This window comes from Homo sapiens, chromosome 12 (genome assembly GCF_000001405.40).
Source record: "Homo sapiens chromosome 12, GRCh38.p14 Primary Assembly".
In the NCBI taxonomy this organism is placed as follows: domain Eukaryota; kingdom Metazoa; phylum Chordata; class Mammalia; order Primates; family Hominidae; genus Homo; species Homo sapiens.
In genome coordinates this window covers 88,777,398-88,796,291 of record NC_000012.12, presented here as the reverse complement: position 1 = coordinate 88,796,291, position 18,894 = coordinate 88,777,398, and the positions used below count along the sequence as shown (strand labels likewise).

The following is an 18,894-nucleotide window of genomic DNA, read 5'->3' as shown; positions in this document are numbered from 1 at the left end:
GTCTGATATTAGGACTGAATTACGATGAATCAGGTTTTAATCAGGATCAAATATAAAATGATCATCCTAGTCCAGTGAGGAGGAGACAAAACATCTCCTGACATGTCTCCTCAGATGTCCCAGAGGCAATTCAAAATCAACGTTTCCATAAGTGCCTCAAATTTAACTTCCATCCTATATTCTCTCTGTGTGTGCCACCAAGTATTTTGTCACCCAAATCTAGGAATTATCCTTAGCCCTATTTTATTCCTCATTCAACTGTTAAATCACAAAATTCAAGTCAATGCTGCTTGGTAAGTATCCTTTCTTTCAATCCCATGTCACTACAAATATTCATTGAGTATCTACTCTGAAGTAGGCACTGTGAAAGACCCTGGAATATAGGGGCAGACAGTTGACTTACAGTCTAGCACAGGAGACAGATCCTGAGCAAATGTTATGCGATTGTAGCTAAAGAGAAGTACAAGTCCACTTTTGTGTCTCAAAAGGCTGTGAATCCTGATCTGAGTGGGGTCTATGAAAGCTTTCCTGGAGAAGTGACATTAAAACTGAAACCTAAAGGATGAAAAGGAGTTAAGTGATATAAGAGAAGAAAAAAATTCCAGGAAGGAAGAATATCATCTACAATGGTTCTGAGTCAGGAAAGGACATGGTATGTGTGAAGAAAACAGAAAATTCCAAGGAACTAAGAGATGAGCAGCTTGCATCTATATGGTCTTTTGCTGTACTACCAAAATTGTTTAAATGTTTTCTTTTTCTTCTGCTTTGGACTACTAGCATCAGTTTTTCACTTTGCTTCCAGAGAGACTTTCCAAAATGCAAACCTCATTATATCACAGAATCCACAGTGGTTTCCCACTGCCTACACAGTAAAGGTCAAATTCCCTCAAGAGATTCTTCCATTCCCTTCTCTGTGTCTTCCACCCACTCCAACACCTAGTGACAATGATGCCGTTTATAGCTCTTCAAAACAGTCAGGCCTGTTCACCTACTTATGTCTTTGCCAGCTGCTATTTTCTTCATTTGGAATGCCTTTGTCTGCCTGGAAAACTCCCATTCATCCTTTAATGGGACTCATATTCTATATTTTCTAAGCCAGAGGCCAGCAAGCTACAGTCCATGAGACAAATCCAACTCTGCCTGTATGACCTGTGAACTAAAAATCGTTTACCTTTAGTAGAGGTTGAAATAAAATCAAAAGAAGAATATTTTGTGATATGTAAAAATTAAAACACATTTAAATTTCAATGACCATAACTGGAATATTTTTAGAGCAAACCCACACTCATTTGTTTACATATTGCCTACAGCTACTTTTGCACTACAATGGCAAAGCTAAACAACAGAGACCACTCAGCCCTCAGAACTGAAATATTTACTATCTGGTTTTCCACAAAAAAAGGTTGCTCACCTCTGCTCAAATCCAATATTTCCAATATGCTCCTTATAGGCCCCCTCCCCTGGAAAAATATTCCTGGAACAAGACAGTTACCTTGACTACCATCCAAAGCACATAACAGAGAAATTATTTTAAAAATTTGAGTATATAACTTGACTTCATCTTAATTTCCTCACCTGTATATTGGAGGCAATAAGAGTGTCCATCTCATAGGTGTTCTGTGAGGATCAAAATAGTTAATAAAGTGTTTAGAATAGTGCCTGGAACATAAAAAGTGTTCATTAGGTCAACGGTATTAACATTTTTCCTCTAATATATCTTGTATATTCATCTACTGTTTCCCTTCACTGTATTTCAGTTCTTTTTCCCTTATGAGTCAACTGTGATTTTTCTTTTGACTTGTGCAAGGTGACTCCTCAATAAATATATAGTGAATAAATAAATGAATGAAAATGAAGGGACTCATGGCCATGGATGATGGTGAGAATGAAAGTGGATTGTGTTGAACACTGTACTGCCATTTAATATTTACATTACAAATTTTGTGCTACTTTATTTTATGACTTTTAGCTGAATTTTTAAAATGTAATGAAGCCAGGAATTATTTTCACTCAAATGCCAGAAAATGTAAGATGCTTTTGATCAAACTGGAGGGGTTATATTAAATATTAAAGTCTTACAAGCGTCACTAACTCTAAACTTTTGTTGACTTGAGGATCATTTCCTGACTTTTATTGGAACCATTCTGGGCAGTACATTCCCTCTTCCCAATGTCTTTGTGAGCTTCGGCTCCAACTTCCCTTTTCATGTCTTCTTTTTTTTTTTGCCACGGACTTATATGCCTTCAGCACATGAGGCTGCATTTAACTTGGCTCAAAAGCAGGGATAGATATTATCACAATGTAGGAGATTAAAAAGCATCCCAACCTCAAAAGAAACACACACACAGAGTCCACAGAAAATGTAGGGAAGATTTTTTTTCTTATGTTAATACAATGGCGATCCCAGCTTTAATCTAGGATGCATCTATTGAGATCTAGACCAGGTTTGTCATTTTCAGTGAAGTGCTGGGATGTATTCTCCAGAAATCTGCGTCCATGAAGAATTTGCAAAGCCCTCAGGAGTTAATCCATCTTCAGAAAAAAGAGTCTGGGAAACAAGTTTAGGCTGGTAGCAGAGTTTTGGTTACTAGAGAGGTGAGGTGACATTGAAGACAGGAGGGAATTTGCCGTTTCTGTGTTTTTGTTTGTTTGTTTGGGACAAGGTCTCACTCTGATGTCCAGGCTGGAGTGCAGTGGTGTGATCATAGCTCACAGTAGCCTCAAATTTCTGGTCTTAAGTGATCCTCCTGCCTCAGCCTCCCAAGTAGCTGGGACCACAGGCATGCACCACCATGCCCAGCTAGTGTGTTTTATTTTTTGTAGAGATGTTGTTATGTTGCCCAGGCTGGTCATGAACTTCTGGGCTCAAGTGACCCTCTTGTCTAGGCCTCCCAAAGTGCTGGGATTATAGACATGAGCCACTGCACCCAGGCTGCCCTTTCTAATTGTCTGCTAGACTAGTCCTCAAAGATTGACTTAGTCTTCAAATATGAATGTTTAATGTGAAAGGGCAGTTTCTCAGAATCTTGGTATGATGTTGAGTCATAAGTAACATTGCTTTGGGTCCTTTTCAAGAAAGTGCATGCACATGCACAAAAAGAAGAAGGGAGGAAGGAAGGAAGGAAAGAAAGAAAGAAAAAGAAAGAAAGAAAGAAAGAAAGAAGAAAGAAAAAAGAGAAAGAAGGAAGGAAGGAGAAAAGAACGGAGGAAGGAAAAAGGAAATGAAAAGAAAGAAAAGAAAAGAAAAGAAAAGAAAGAAAAGAGAAGGCACATCTGAACTTGAGAGATCACAAGTTTCTTAGAGAATGGACTAGCTAACCTGGACCTAAATGAAGGAGTGGTGAGGTGCAGGAACATATACTACAAAGGCTTGGTTATGATGAAGATTATGGCCCATTTGGGGAACTGCAACTCATTTAACTCTGACCACAACCCTATGAAGTGGATACAATTATTATCTCCATTTAAAATGAGAAACTGAATTATAGAGAGGTTAAGTAACTTTCTTTATGTTACACAACTAAAAAAGTAGCAGATCTAGGATTCAAACTCAAGCAGTCTGACTCCCACATCTGTGATCTTAACCTCTCCTTTATAGTATTCCTAATATAATAGCCACCTTAAGGTAAGAAAGTTTATATCACATACTGTATTAAGTACATTATATGTATTGCTTGATTTAAATATGTTCCAGTTATCTCTTGCTTCATACCAAAATTTAGTGACTTAAATCAATAAAAGTCATTTATTTCTCTCATGAATCTGTGATTTGGGCTGGGTCCTACCCTACGCAATACCAACTAAATTGAGGTGTGCAGGATCTGCTTTTAAGATGGGTCACTCACATGCTGGGAAGTTATTACTGGCTCCAGGGTGAGTTTTTCCCACCTTGGCCTCTGGGCCTGTGATGGGAGAGGATGCCATGAAGGTCTCTGACATAACTGGAGACATATTCCCCATTGTCTTGGTGATTAACATTTGGCTCCTTTTTACTTATGCCAATTTCTGCAGCCAACTTCAATTTTTCCCCATAAAACAGGTTTTTCTTTTCTATCACATTGTCAGTCTGCAATTTTTGCAAGTCTTTATGCTCTGCTTCCTCTTGAATGTTTTGCCACTTAGAAATTTTTTCTGCTAGTTACCATAAACCATCTCTCTCAAGTTCAGATTTCCACAGATCTCTAGGGCAGGGGGTAAACTTGCCAGTCTCTTTGTTAAAGCATAGCAAGAGTGACCTTTACTCCAGTTCCTAACAAGTTTCTCATCTCCATCTGAGACTAACTCAACCTGGACTTCATTGTCCATATCACTATTAGCATTTTGGTCAAAGCCATTCAACAAGTCTCTAGGAGGTTGCAAACTTTCCCACATTTTTCTATCTTCTTCTGAGACCTCCAAACTCTTCCAACCTCTGCCTGTTACCCAGTTCCAAAATTGCTCTCACATTTTTGGGTATCTTTACAGCAGCATCCCACTCTCTGCAGTACCAATTTCCTGTATTAGTTCCTTCTCACTCTGCTATGAAGAAATACTGGAGACTGGGTAATTTATAAGGGAAAGAGGTTTAATTGACCCACAGTTCTGCAGGGCTGGGAGGCCTCAGGAAATGGTGGAAGGGGAAGCAAACATGTCCTTCTTCACATAGCAGCAGGAAGGAGAAGAATAAGAAATGAGCAAAGGGTGAAGCTCCTTATAAAACCATCAGATCTTGTGACAATTTACTATCATGAGAATAGCATGGGGGAAATTGCTCCCATGATTCAATTACCTCCCACCTGGTGCCTCCCACCACACATAGGGATTATGGGAATTACAATTCAAGATGAGATTTGGGTGGGGACATAGCCAAACTGTATCAATGGGGGTGGTTTCTAATGCTTTAGCACCATCCCCCTAGTGCTGTCTCATGACAGAATTCTCATTATATCTGGTTGTTTAGAAGTATGTAGCACTTCCCTTGTCCCTCTCTCTCTCTCCTACTCAACAATGGTAAGATTGGCTTGCTTCCCCAGTGCCTTCTGCCATGATGGAAGTTTCCTGATGCCTCCCTAACTATGCTACCTGTACATCCTGTTGAACTGTGAGTCAATTAAACCTCTTCATGAATTACCCAGTATCAAGTATGTCTTTATAGCAGTGTGAGAACAAACTAATAAAGAAAATTGGTGTGAGAATGAGGTATTGCTATAAAGATATATGAAAATGTGGATGTGACTTTGGAACTGGGTAATGGGCAGAGGTTGGAACAGTTTGGAGGGCTCAGAAGAAGAAAGAAAGATGTGGGAAGGTTTGGAACTTCCTAGAGACTTGTTGAATGGTTGTGACCAAAATGCTGATAGCGATATGGACAATGAAGTTCAAGCTGAGGTGGTCTCAGATGGAGATGAGAAACTTGTTGAGAACTGGAGTAAAAGTCACTCTTGCTATGCTTTAGGAAAGAGACTGGCAGCATTTTGCCTCACTCTAGAGATCTGTGGAACTTTTAACTTGAGAGAGATGGTTTACAGAATCTGGCAGAATAAATTTCTAAGGAACAGTGTTCAAGATAGGGTCTACTGCTTCTAAAAGCCTATGCTCATTTGCATAAAGAAAGAAATGATCTGAAACTGAAACGTTTTAAAGGGAAGGAGAGCATAAAAATTTAAAAAAATTGCAAGCTGACCATGCAGTAGAAAAGAAAAACCCATTTTCTAGGGAGAAATTGAAGGCTGCAGAAATTTGCATAAGTAAAGAAGAGCTGAATGTTAGTTGCCAAGATAATGGAGAAAACGTCTCCAGGGAATTTCAGATACATTCACAGCAGTCCCTCCCATCACAGGCCCAGAGGCCTGGGAGGGAAAAATGGTTTTGTGGGTCACCACTGCTCTGTGCAACCTTGAGGCATGGCACCCTGCATCCCTGCTCCTCCAGCTAAAAGGGGCCATGGTACAGCTTAGGCCACTGCTTCAGAGGTTGCAAGCCTCAAGCCTTGGCAGCCTCCATGTGGTGTTAGGCTTGCAGGTGTGCAGAAGACAAGAGTTAAGCTTTGGGAACCTCTGCCTAGATTTCAGGGGATATATGGAAATGCCAGGATGTTCAGGCAGAAGTCTGCTGCAGAGGCACAGTCCTCATGGAGACCCTCTGCTAGAACAGTGTGGAGGAGAAGTGTGGGGTTGGAGCCCCCACACAGGGTCCCCACTGCAACACTGCCTAGTGGAGCTGTGAGTAGAGGGCCATCATCCTCCAGCCTCCAGAATGGTAGATCCACTGACAGCTTGCACCGTGCACCTGGAAAAGCCACTGTCAGTCGACAACAGCCTGTGAAAGCAGCTGAAGGAGCTGCACCCTGCAGAGTTACAGGGGCAGAAATGCCCAAGACCATGGGATGGGCCATGGGATGTTCTAACATGACCTGATTGTGAGATATGGAATCAAAGGAGATTATTTCAGAGCTTTAAGATTTAATGAATTTCTGCTGGGTTTTGGACTTGCATGCGGCCTGTAGTACCTTTTGTTTGGCCAGTTTCTTCCTTTTGGAATGGTAGCATTTACCCAATGCCTGTAACCCCATTGTATCTTGGAAGTTACTAACTTGTTTTTGATCTTACATGCCTATAGGAAGAAACGACTTGCCTTGTCTCAGTTGGGACTTTGGGCTTGGACATTTGGGTTAATGCTGGAATGAGTTAAGACTTCATGGGACTATTGGAAAGTCGTGATTGGTTTTAAAATAGAAAAAGTACATGAGATTTGGGAGGGGCCATGTTGAATTGTAATCCCCAGTGTCAAGGGAGCAACCTGGTGGGAGGTGATTGGATCATGGGAGTAGTTTTGAATGGTTTAGCACCATCTCCCTAGTCCTGTCTCATGAGTGAGTTCTTATGATGTCTGGTTGTTCAAAAGTGTGTGTCACTTCTTTTTACACTCTCTTTCTCTCCTTCTCCATCATTGAAAGATGGGCTTCCTTCTCCATCTTCTACCATAATTGTAAGTTTCCTGAGGCCTCCCAAGCAATGTTACCTGTACAGCCTATGGAACTGTGAGTCAATTAAACCTCTTTTCTTCATAAATTACCAAGTCTCAGGTATGTCTTCATAGCAGTGTGAGAACAGACTAATACAGATGATCATGACAGTTGCAAACAAAGACAGTTTTGTTTATTCCTTTCCAATCTGTATACACTTTCTTTTCTTTCCTTGTTGTATTAGCTAGCACTTCCAGTAAAATATTGAAAAGTAGTAGTGAAAGGGGACATTCTTTCCTTCCTTTTGATGTTAGTGGAAAACTTCAAGTTTCTCACTGTCAAATGTAATGTTAGCTGTAGAGCTTTTGTAAATATTATTTATCAGGTTAAGAAATTTTCCCTTTAGACCAAATTTACTGAAAGTTATTAACATGAATGAGTGTTGAGTTTTGTCAAATACTTTCTTTGCCTTTATTGATGTAATCATGTGACTTTTCTTCTTTAGCTTGTTAATGTGAATCAATTATATTGATTGATTTTCAGAAGTTGAATCAGCCTTATATACCTGTGATAAATCACCTGGGTGGTGGCATACAATTTGTTTTATACATTGCTGGATTCGATTTCCTATTTTGTTGAGAATTTTTATATCTATGTTAATTAGAGATATTGATTTCTAGTTTTCTTGTAATGCCTTTTTCTGGTTTTTGTATGAGGATAATACTGGGCCTCATAGAATGAATTAGAAAGTATTCATTCTTTTTCTATCACCTAAAATAATTGCAGATAACTAGTATGATTTCTTTCTTAAATATTTGGTCAAATTCATAGTGAAACTATCTGTACCTGATCCTTTCTGTTTTGGAATGTTATTGACTATTGATTGAATTTTTTAAATAAATATAAGCCTATTCAGATGGTCTGTTTTTTCTTGTGTGAGTTTTGGCAGATTGTGTCTTTCAGGGGATGGGTTCATTTCACCTAGGCTAGTATGTGAGACTAGAATTGTTTGTAGTATTTCTTTTTAATTGTGTTTTTAAACTTTCTAAAGAGAGAGTGTCTTGTTCTGTTGCTCATGCTGAAGTGCTGTGGCATGATTGTATTTCATTGCAACCTCAAACTCTTGGGCTCAAGGAATCTTCCCATGTCAGTCACCTGAGTAGCTAGGACTTCAAGTGTGCACCACCATACCCAGATATTTTGTTAAATTATTTTTGTAGAGATAAGTTCTCTCTATCTTGCCTAGATTAGTCTCAAATCCTGGCCTTAATTTATCTCTTGCCTTGACCTCCCAAAGGGCTTGGATTGCAGGCCTAAGTCATCAAGCCCAGCCCATAGTATTCCTTTGTTATCATTTTAACGTCCATGGGAGCTGTAGTAATTTCTCTTCTTTCCTTTCTGATATGAGTAATTTGTGTTCTCTCTCTTATGCTTTTTTTCCCACTTACCCTGTTATAGAAGTTTATGAATTTTATTGAACTTTTCAAAAAACCAGCTTTTGGTTTCATTAATTTTCTCTATTGATTTTTTGTTTTCAGTTTCATTGATTTGTGTCCTAGTTTTTATTTGTTTTTTTCTACTTACTTTGTATTTTATTTGCTTTTTCTTTTCCAGTGTTGTAAACTGGTTGACCTATAATTGATTTTATACATTTCTTTTTTCTATTATATACACTTAGTGCTATAAAATTCCCTCTAATCACTGCATTTGCTGCATTTTACAAGTTTTAATAAGCTATGTTTTAAGTTTCACTTAGTTTAATTTCTCGAGTTTTTTTTCTTGGACCCATGAGTTATTTAGAAGTATATTGTTTAATCTCCACATAGTTTGGTATTTTCCAGCTATATACCTTTCTATTATTCCTCTCTAGTTTAATTCCATTGTTGCCTGACAGCAGACATTGTATGTCTTGTGTTTTTAGACATTTGTCAAGGTGTACTTTATTGTCAAGAACATGGTCTATCTTGGTGAATGTTCCATGTGAGCTGGAGAAGAATGTGTATTCTGTTGATGTTGCATAAAGTAGTCTATCGATGTCCATTATGTCCAATTGATTGATGGTGTTATGGAGTTCAACTATGTCCTTATTGATTTTCTGCCTGCTGAATCTGTTCATTTCTGACAGAGGGCATTGAAGTCTTCAACTATAATAGTATATTCATCTATTTCTCATGGCAGTTCTATCAGTTTTTGCCTCATATATTTTGATTCTCTATTATTAGTTACATTCAAATTAAGAATTATGTCTTCTTGAAGACTTAATCCTTCTGTCATTATGTAATACCTTTCTGATAATTTTTTAACTCTGGGCCTGTGCTTACCCATGTATTACACTTCTTTATCCCTGATAATGTTCCTTGTTCTGAAGCCTGCTCTGCCTGAAATTAATATATCAATTTCCACTTTCATTTTGTTAGTGTTAGAATGGTATAATTTTCTTCATCCATTTACTTTTAATCCATATCTCTTTATATTTAAAGTAGGCTTCTTGTAGACAACATATAGTTGGGTTTTAATCCCACTATGACGATCTTTGTCTTTTATCCACTATGACAATCTTTGTCTTTTAGTTGGTCCATTTAGACTATTAACATTCAAAGTGATTACTGATACAGTTTTATTAGAATCTATCATATTTGTTACTGTTTTTTTTATTTTCTATGCTTGTTATTTGATTCTCTTTTTATCCTCCACTTATTTTTGCCTTTTGTGGTTTTAACTGAGCATTTGATGTAATTTTATTTTCTCTCCTTTCTTAACATATCACTTATACCATTTTAAAAAACAAAACATTTTTAGTGGTCATCTCAGAATTTATGATATACCTTTACCATGACTCCAAGTGCACTTTCAAATAATGCTATACCACTTCACAGGTAGTACAAATACCTTATAATGACAAAATAGTTCTAAGCCCTCCCTCCTGTCTCTCGTAACATTGCTGTCATTTATTTCACTTATATATAAGCATATATAAGTGTGTATGTATATATATACTTTATATATATTTCATATATATCCTTATATATGTGTGTGTAACACACACACAGAGACACATACATACATATAATTGAATACAATTATGCTATTGTTATTTTTAACAAACTGCTATGTGTTAGATCAATTAGGTATGAGAAAAATAAGAGTTTATTTTTTATTTTACCTTCACTTATTCCTTCTCCAATGTTCTTCTTTAGGTAGATCCAAGTTTGTGACCTATATCACTTTTCTTCTTGCTGAAGAGCTTTTTAGAACATTTCTTGCAAGGCACAACAAATTCCAATTTTTTTTGTCTGAGGCAGTCTTCATTTCTCGCTTGTTTTTAGAGGACACTTTTACAGGGTATGGGATTATAGGTTAGTGGGGTTTTTATCTCTCAACACTTTAAATATTTCACTGTTCTCTCTTCTTGCTTTCCTTGTTTCTTTTGTTTGTTTGTTTGTTTTTTGAGACAGAGTTTTGCTCTTGTCACCCAGGCTGGAGTGCAATGGTGCGATCTCAGCTCATTGCAACCTCCACCTCCTGGGTTCAAATGATTCTCCTGTCTCAGCCTCTTGAGTAGCTGGGATTACAGGTGCACACAACCATGCCCAACTAATTTTTTTTTTGTATTTTTTAGCAGAGATGGGTTTTTGCCATGTTGGCCAGGCTAGTCTTGGACTCCTGATATCAGGTGATCTACCCACCTTGGCCTCCCAAAGTGCTGGGATTACAGGTGTAAGCCACCGCGCCTGGCCTGCTTTACTTGTTTCTAAGGAGAAGTCAGATGCAAATGAGATTCTTATTTTTCTCCTCTATAGGTAAGGTGAGTTTTTTCACCTCTGACTTCTCTTTTTTGTTGTTGTTCCACCCCTTCCCAACCCCCTGACTTCTTTCAAAATTTTATCTTTGATTTTCTGTAGTTTGAAGATGATATGCCTAGGTATAGAGATTTTTTCACATTCATCCTGCTCAGTGTTCTCTGTACTTCCTGGATTTGTGGTTTAGTGTCAGACATTAATTTGGAGGAAATCCTCAATCTTTATTGTTTCAAATATTTCCTCTGTTTTTCTTTCTCTTTATTTTCCTCCTGATATCCCCATTATGTGTATTTATGCTTTGGGAATTGTTCTACAGTTTTTGGATAGTATGTCCTTTTTTTCTTTCCCAGTCTTTGTTCTCTTTGCTTTTCAGTTAGATGTCTGTTGACATGTTCTCAAGCTTAGAGACTCTTTCCTCAGCTTTGTCCAGTCTACTAAAGCCATTGAAGGAGTTCTTCATTTCTGTTGTTGTTGTTTTTGTTTTCTGGTTTTTTGATCTCTAGCATTTTGGGGTTTCTTTCTTAGAAAATCCCTATTTCTCTGCTTATATTGCCCATCTATTCTTGCATGCTGTCTACTTCATTCACTACAGCCCTTAACATATTAATGAAAGTGGTTTTAAATTCTCAGTCTGATAATTGCACCATTCCTGCCATATCTTAAGTCTGGTTTTGATTCTTAGTCTGTCTCTGCAAACCGTGTTTTTTGCCTTTTGGTACGCCTTGTAATTTTTTCTTGGTAGCTGAACATGATGCCTTGAGTAAAAGAAACTGCTATAAATAGGCCTTTATTAATGTGGTGGTAAGGTGTGGGGGAAATGAAGTGTTTTATAGTCTTATGAATAGGTCTCAGTCTTTTAGTAAGCCTGTGTCTCTGGGCTGCGAACTTCACACATGCTTCTCAGTCACATCCCCTCAACTTAGATGGGATAAGATAACTAGAGTGAGCTGAAGTTGGGTGTTTTCCTTCTTCCACATGGAAGACCAGATAGGGTTGGGACACCTCTTCCCCCCAGGTCAGTTAGTTTCTGATAAAACTCTAGCAATTTTAATTTTCAGCAACTAGCTAAATGGTTTCTCCTGAGGGCAGAACTTATTAAGAACAGAATGCACTGGTGTATTTCAAAAAAGTTCCTTCCCTTTCCTCTGTCAGAAGCACAAAGGAATTTTTCTCCTGTAATCACTGCGAGAACTTGATAAAGATCCAGGAAGTAAAACCCATAAAAGCATGAGGTCTTTCCTAAGACTGAGTCCCCCAGAAGCCTTTAGCTCTCAGACCCATCCACATGGAACTTCTGGCAATTCATCAAGTATAATTTAGGTTTTCTTCATTAGTTTCTGCTCAGGTAAGATGTGATTCTCTGTATTTGTTGGGGCAACAGTTTGACCTGTGACCTTACTTCTCTATGAATCTAAGAAAGGATATTGATTTTTCAGTTCTTTTCAGCCTCTTATTTGTTGTTAGGATGGAGTGGAAACTTCTAAGTTTTTACATGCCAAACTATAAACCAGGAGTCCTTTTTTTATTTTTTTTTAATCCAGGGGGTTAGTCCAGAATTTCAGTGTATACTAATTGTACTGAATAGAGGGAGTTTCGCTACCTGACATTTTTTGTTCAGTGAATCCTCAAATTCCAATTAATTAATATATTTCCAAATTTTATTTTAGGAGAAAGAGCATTTTAAAATTAAACCAAGTACTGTTAGAAATTTATTTGTGAAAGCTTAAGTTCACTACATATTTTGAATTAGTCCTATATCTTACAATTTTTACATTTACTATTTTAATTACAATTCTTAAGTACCAAGAAGAAATTTCAGAAATCATCACTGACCTCTTCCTTGTTTTATAAATAAAGAAACTAAATCTCAGAGAGTCTACCCATTTTTCCTTTGGTCACTTAATGACAAAGCTTCAGCTAAATCCAGGACACACATTATTCTTGTGTCGCTGCACTTCTTCCACTGCATTTATTCGAAAACAAATAAATGTTAATGTGATGATTGGGAAACTCAAGAACATATTAATTAATTAAAATGGTTTTTGAATGCCCACTATATATATCTGCCATGCTAGGTTTTGGTGATGTAAAATGAATGAATCACAGTCCTGGTCCTCAAAGATAGCCATACTGAAGGAGATGGACATGAACATAAAGAACCTCCATGCTGAATGAGAAGCCCATCACAGCCCATGATGACCTGTATAATGTGCTTCTGGGAGAAAAGAAGTCTCAAAACCTAAGGGAGATACCCAGAGTAATTTCTCTAAGGAGGTAACATTTGAGTTGTGTCTTGAAAAATGAATAGCTTTTCACCAGGGTGTTCTAGACAATAGAAATTATAATAGAGATCAATAATCAAATCCTCATTAAAAAGCTACTATGAGCTAGGCCATATGCTAGGTACAGGAGCACAAGAGTGAGCAAAGATAAAGTCTCTGTTCTTGTGCACCTTTTGTTCATTTTATTTGAAGGGTGAACTACAGGTAAGTTGTCTTTGAAAAGTGCAATGAAATGTTTGGTAAGGAGATTTGACTTGGGGGTGGAGAAAAGAGGAAAGCAGGGATACTTCCTGGAGGATAGTAGGAGAGTTAATACCTTAGGTGGCATATTGAGAGGGAAGAACATAAAGAGGCAAAGGCCATGTCATGGCTAATGGCTCTGAGCTGTAATCTGCTGCGTATAAAGATGATCTTGGCTTGGACATAAACAATGGGGATGGAAGTTACTTAAACTGGCACTAGAGAGACAAGTGGGGCCAGTTCAGGGAAGACTTTGTGGGCAACCTCAATGAAGACATTGAAGGATTGAAAAAGAGAGAGAAGTGGAACCATGAAATTTGTAGTCTGAAAAACCACTCTGACTCTATGGGAAAAGCTACAGGGATGAGAAAGACACAAAATACCCAGCAAATGAAAATAATTTATAAGGCTAGAGCTTAGAGTCTGCGGTGGGGAGTCACAGGAAACATAGGCTAGAGTCAGATCCTGAAGGAAGCCCCATCTGTTTTGGAGTAAGACTTGTATAGTTTATCTACCAGGGAATGAGGTCACTTTGACAGATTATATGTTCAGAACATAAGAATCATGCTAAAAAGATTCATTTGTATTCATAATATTGTAATTATGAATGTAGATAATGGATTGACAGATTTTACAAATATTTCATAAAAAGTTGGAAAGAAAAAAAATCTATGCCTTTCATCTAACCAGAAATGCCTGTTTTCATTTTCTGTTTTCCAGTTGTTTGAGATTGATTGAAGACCTCAATTGTGAGAAAAAACAAACTCAGAGAGGGCAGAGAAAGGCAACTGAGACCTTGCCATACAATGCCTTGGTGGGATGGACTTTCTGGTAAACCTTGTGTTAACTCCTCAAGGAAATGCCTGGGCATATACCAGAATAGTGTCTGACAGTGTGATGCAACCTAATGCTGCCTCTACTTGCTGGAATTTTACTTTGTGCCTCTGGGTGGTAATTAGGGATTGTTTGATCTGAGTCAATAAAATACTATTCAATTTCCCCTGCAGACATCAGAGATGCATTTATTACAGTAAAAATATTTTCCCATGCCACTATTTGAATTTAAAGCATACATGTCTGCTCATTTAATTTCTAGCTACTTACACCAGCTTTTTAACATATAGACTAAGTGCAAATTAAAAACACAAGGACATTACTCATGTTTCTGGAGGTAAAGATGGATGGATGTTCAGTAAATTACACCTTCTATAGAAGCTGCTATTGATGAAGCTTATGAAGTTTAATTTCTTGATTTATCTGCACTGGCTAACTCCCATGACCGTCTATATTCTGAAGCTTAGATTAAACAGATCATGCAAGAAACACCTACATTCAGAATTTGAGAAGTCCCTTTGAAAATTCAATGGAATCCTTTGTAATAAATTTCTAAATCACATATGTGTCAGATATATTGTGGTCCAAATCCTGCCATTCCATTCATTATAAACGTTCACCTTAAAGCAGAATTTCTCTGTAAAGCTGGTAGCAATCCTTTTTCACACTTCCTGTATTATTACAGAGAGGTGCCGTTTTGTGTAACAACTTATGAGGCTGCTAGTGGTAACTTCAGTTGTAGCAGCAGTAGACTTGGGGGACAGACAAAAGATCTTGCATTTGTCTGTTGATTAAGTGATAAGCACCATCAATACGTTCACAAAGAATAGGGGAGGAAATAACACCCTGACTCAATGCTGTTGCCACCTTGGGTATGTGAATCCATTGGTATTCTTGTTAATTTGATGAAATATAAGCTCTAAATTTAGAAACTGAATATTTTCTGTTTACTTCATTACACTGTATTATATGACATTAAAGAGCAGATTAAGCAAGAAGTATGATGTTTAATATAAAAAGTACTAATATTATATTTCCAGTTAAAAAAAGGTCTTCCAAACAAGTGAAGGAATTTATATGTTGTATCAAATGTCTCCAAACACCAGAACTTCTTGATATTGTTGTGATTCTTATTAGTATGAAAAAGGATACAATTGACATAGTTCATAGTAAACGTTAAATACTCTGAAAATGCATTAGTAATAGGATTTGAATTCACTCATCAACATAAAAAGCATTAAAATATTTTGTTTTGTTTTTGAGAAATAAGGACTAGCACCAAGTCAAGAGTTATATGATACAGAGAAAAATAGCAGCCCCCCTTCAAAGGGCATATAACCTTGAGGAGATTAGATATGTGCATTAACAGTTAAATAATCGAGTGGTTGAATAAGGAGTTATAGAACATATAAAACCACAGAAAATGGATGTCATGGTGCAAATGTATGATTAAATTAAAATCTAATTAGTAGTAAAGACATTAAATGCTATGAGGTCATAGGCTACAGAGTGCATGTGTGTTGTTGTGGTCAAGAAGGCTTCATGGGGAAATGAGAAATTAAGTGGCATTAAAGTAGCAGGAGGAAATGGGCAGAGGGAGAAGCAAGGGATAGGTTTTCAGAAGGGGAGAGGGAGACGTAGAGGGAGGTTACAGTAAGACTTGAGGGCAAGGAGAAGGGGGAATCCACCATTAATACCAGGCAGTGACTATATTAATCTGGACATAGTCAAACATTTATGAGGGAGAATGGTGGAAAATGGGCTGGAATGTTAGGCTGAAGAAAGCTTCGGACTCCTCCAGTTGGACCTTTATTGAAAATTTCCCCTGAATGGTAGTCTTCCACTTCCTCTCCGGGTCTCTGATGGTATATTGACTTTGGTAGAGTGTGCTGGATGTCATCAATGCCCTTGTTTGATTCATTGCCTCATATTCAGAATCAAAATGCAGAGCTTGGTACAAACTGGCTTTTACAAAAGATGCAGATGACTGCAAAATCAAAGTTTCTGGAATGTGCATCTGTTTGTCTTTTATCTCAACCGTCTGTTGGGCACTTACACTGAAACCCTGCTACTCTTCCCTCTAATCAGGTCTACAATGAAATTCTGCTTCATTCTGAATGCCTGTCTTCCCTATATTTGTTGGAGGCACTTCAAGGCAGTTCCATTATCACAGCTGCCTGAGCTGAAACTATTCTCCAATACACATAAGATGACTAAATAATTTATCATCCAAGTGAAAGGAGTGTTATCAATAATTCTTCTGGGACAACAGATATAAATTGGATGATTCTAGGGAAACAGGGCTAACAGTTACACTATTCAATTTTTCTGTCATTGTGTTCTGTCAATTCCTTATTTTAATTATCTTAATTTTTCTCCTTTTTCTCTCATTGCTTCTGTATCAATCCCCACACTGAGTTCAACTGCACCCTCTGTACTTTCTTGCTAGTCACCTGCCCCTCTCCCTTCATTCCATCCTGACACAGGCAAATGTACCTAAAACTCTATTTTGAGTGTTACTCTCTTGTTCAAGAACCTACAATGAGTCTTCAATGTTTCTCCCCAAAAGAATGAAATTTTCAGCTGAGCACAGTGGCTCACACCTGTAATCCCAGCACGTTGGGAGGCCAAGGTGGGGGGACTGCTTGAGCCCAAAAGTTTAAGACTAGCTTGGGCAGTATAGTGAGATCTTGTCTTTACAAAAAAAATTTTTTTAATTAGCCAGGTATGGTGGTGCGTACTTGTAGTCCCAGCTACTTGAGAGGCTGAGGCGGGAGGATTGCTTGAGCCCTGGAGGTCAAAGCTGTGGTGAGCCAGGATTGCACTACTGCACTCCAGCCTGGGCAACAGAATGAGACCCTGTCTCAAAAAAAGTAAATAAATAAATAAATAAACTTTTCTTTCTGGCTCTTTAGGACCAGCTTGATCTACATGTACCTACCTGTTCTTATTTTCTACTGTTCCCAACTACAGCGCTGGATTTTCAGGATTTTCCATAAATACTCTTCCTTCCTTCCTTCCTTTTTATTTATTTATTTTTGCTTTTGCAAGTACTGATTATCCACATCTACATCATGCCCTTTTATTTTTTTTCCTAATCAAGTTACTGTATAATCTTTAGAGCCTTCCCTGATACTGAACTCTTCTTTGAACTTCTTAATAATCTTACATTGAATCCTTGACAAACCACTAAGCTTTTGAGTTCATGTTTTCTTTTGCTACCATGATTTCAGGTTTGTTTTCTTAAACAATTTCTCCTTAAACTAGATTGTTAATTCCTTGAGGATACAGAATGGGGTGTCATATATCATTCACATAAGGGTATTTTTGAATATATGATGAGAGATGTGTCTTTCCCATCAAAATCTCTTCTTTTTTTTTTGAGACAGGGTGTGGCTCTGTTGCCCAGGCTGAAGTGCAGTGGGGTAATTTCAGTTCACTGCGACCTCCACTTCCTGGACTCAATCAATCTTCCCACCTCAGCCTACCCAGTAGCTGGGATCACAGGTGCAAAATCTCTTCTTATTCCACTCCTGCTTAATTTGCCCTTGACCACTTCTAAAAACCAAAAGAAGACCAAAAAAAAAATCAAGCATCTATTTTCATTTCACAAGTATCTACCCTGTAAAACCTAAAGTAATGGTATTCTCTCCCTACTAAGTGAAACAAATACATTCCAAGATGTGAGGTATTATTACTGTTCTCAGTCTTCAAAGTCTACCCAATTCAGCAGAATCATTCTCAGATGGCCACAGAGTTTGCTTTCTTATGCATAATGGATTCATATACAAAAATTTTCTGACCAGGATTATTCCTGGTAAAATGTAAATCTGGTGTTGTTCCCTGTGCTTTTATATGTTTCTATCTTTAAGCTCGAATGTAATGCCTTACATAAACCTGCATGTTTAGGGTGGAGGGGATGGTGAATTTAATTCAAATGTAATGCAAATGTAATTCCCACTACAATATAGATCTTCAGAGGCCATGAATAATATTCCTCCTGAAGCCCTCTTGTTGATTAATTCAGGGAGGGGGATTAAGGATTCAAACTGGTGTACTTAATGTGATTTAAAAATGTAAACAGTGCACTGAATGGGTGTTCTGTCTCTTGATTGGTTACCTGATATACTTCATTAGCTAATGTCCTCTTAAAAGAGGAGATGGGAGGTGAGGGGTTTATAGGTGGTATAAAATAGCAGTCCTTGGGTGTGATATTCTCTGCCTCTTCCTTTGTCTCCTTCCGTGGTCCTCTTGGCCCTGTGAAGACACACGGCCAATGCTGGAAATTGAGTCTGCTGGGCTCTCCATTTGGTTCACTGGCCTGGCTGTTTACCATCAGCCTTTCTTGCCTGGTCACCTTGGTCCTTGATTCAGTGTCTGTGATCCATGGAACTTGTGATACATGGTCATACATGGTGGGTCAGAAGTTTTAAACCTCAGGAAAGTGGGGGCCACCATCCCATGTCACTGTGAGGCCATCACAAGTTGGCTCTGTTCTAGTATACCTACGTAGGTTACAGTGAAAGGCACTCCACCTTGCTGTTTCCCTCAAATTCTAGGACCTGCCTTTTTTAAAAATTTCTATTCAAGAAAGAAAGGAAGCCTTGATTTTCTACTTCTGACTTCCATTTTCTTTTCCCTATTTACCTCTGAACAGGAGAAAAATAAAGTAAGCTTTTTTTCCTCTATCTATACTCCTTCTTCCTGGTTTTAGCAGTGGACTAGGCACTCTAGGAGCTGGAGTCTCCAGGTCTGGGGCCTAGAAGTGTTTAAAGAGAACGTAACCTCCCTGCAC

General features: G+C 37.9%; 1 long non-coding RNA gene across 1 annotated transcript; it reads left to right on the top strand.

Moving 5' to 3' along the window:
• Nucleotides 1-12,007: 12,007 nt before the first annotated feature.
• LOC105369887 (uncharacterized) lies at nucleotides 12,008-14,271 on the top strand. Its single transcript, XR_945168.3, has 3 exons — nucleotides 12,008-12,088; nucleotides 12,819-13,017; nucleotides 13,986-14,271. It is a non-coding gene; the product is annotated as an uncharacterized LOC105369887 (long non-coding RNA).
• Nucleotides 14,272-18,894: the final 4,623 nt, after the last annotated feature.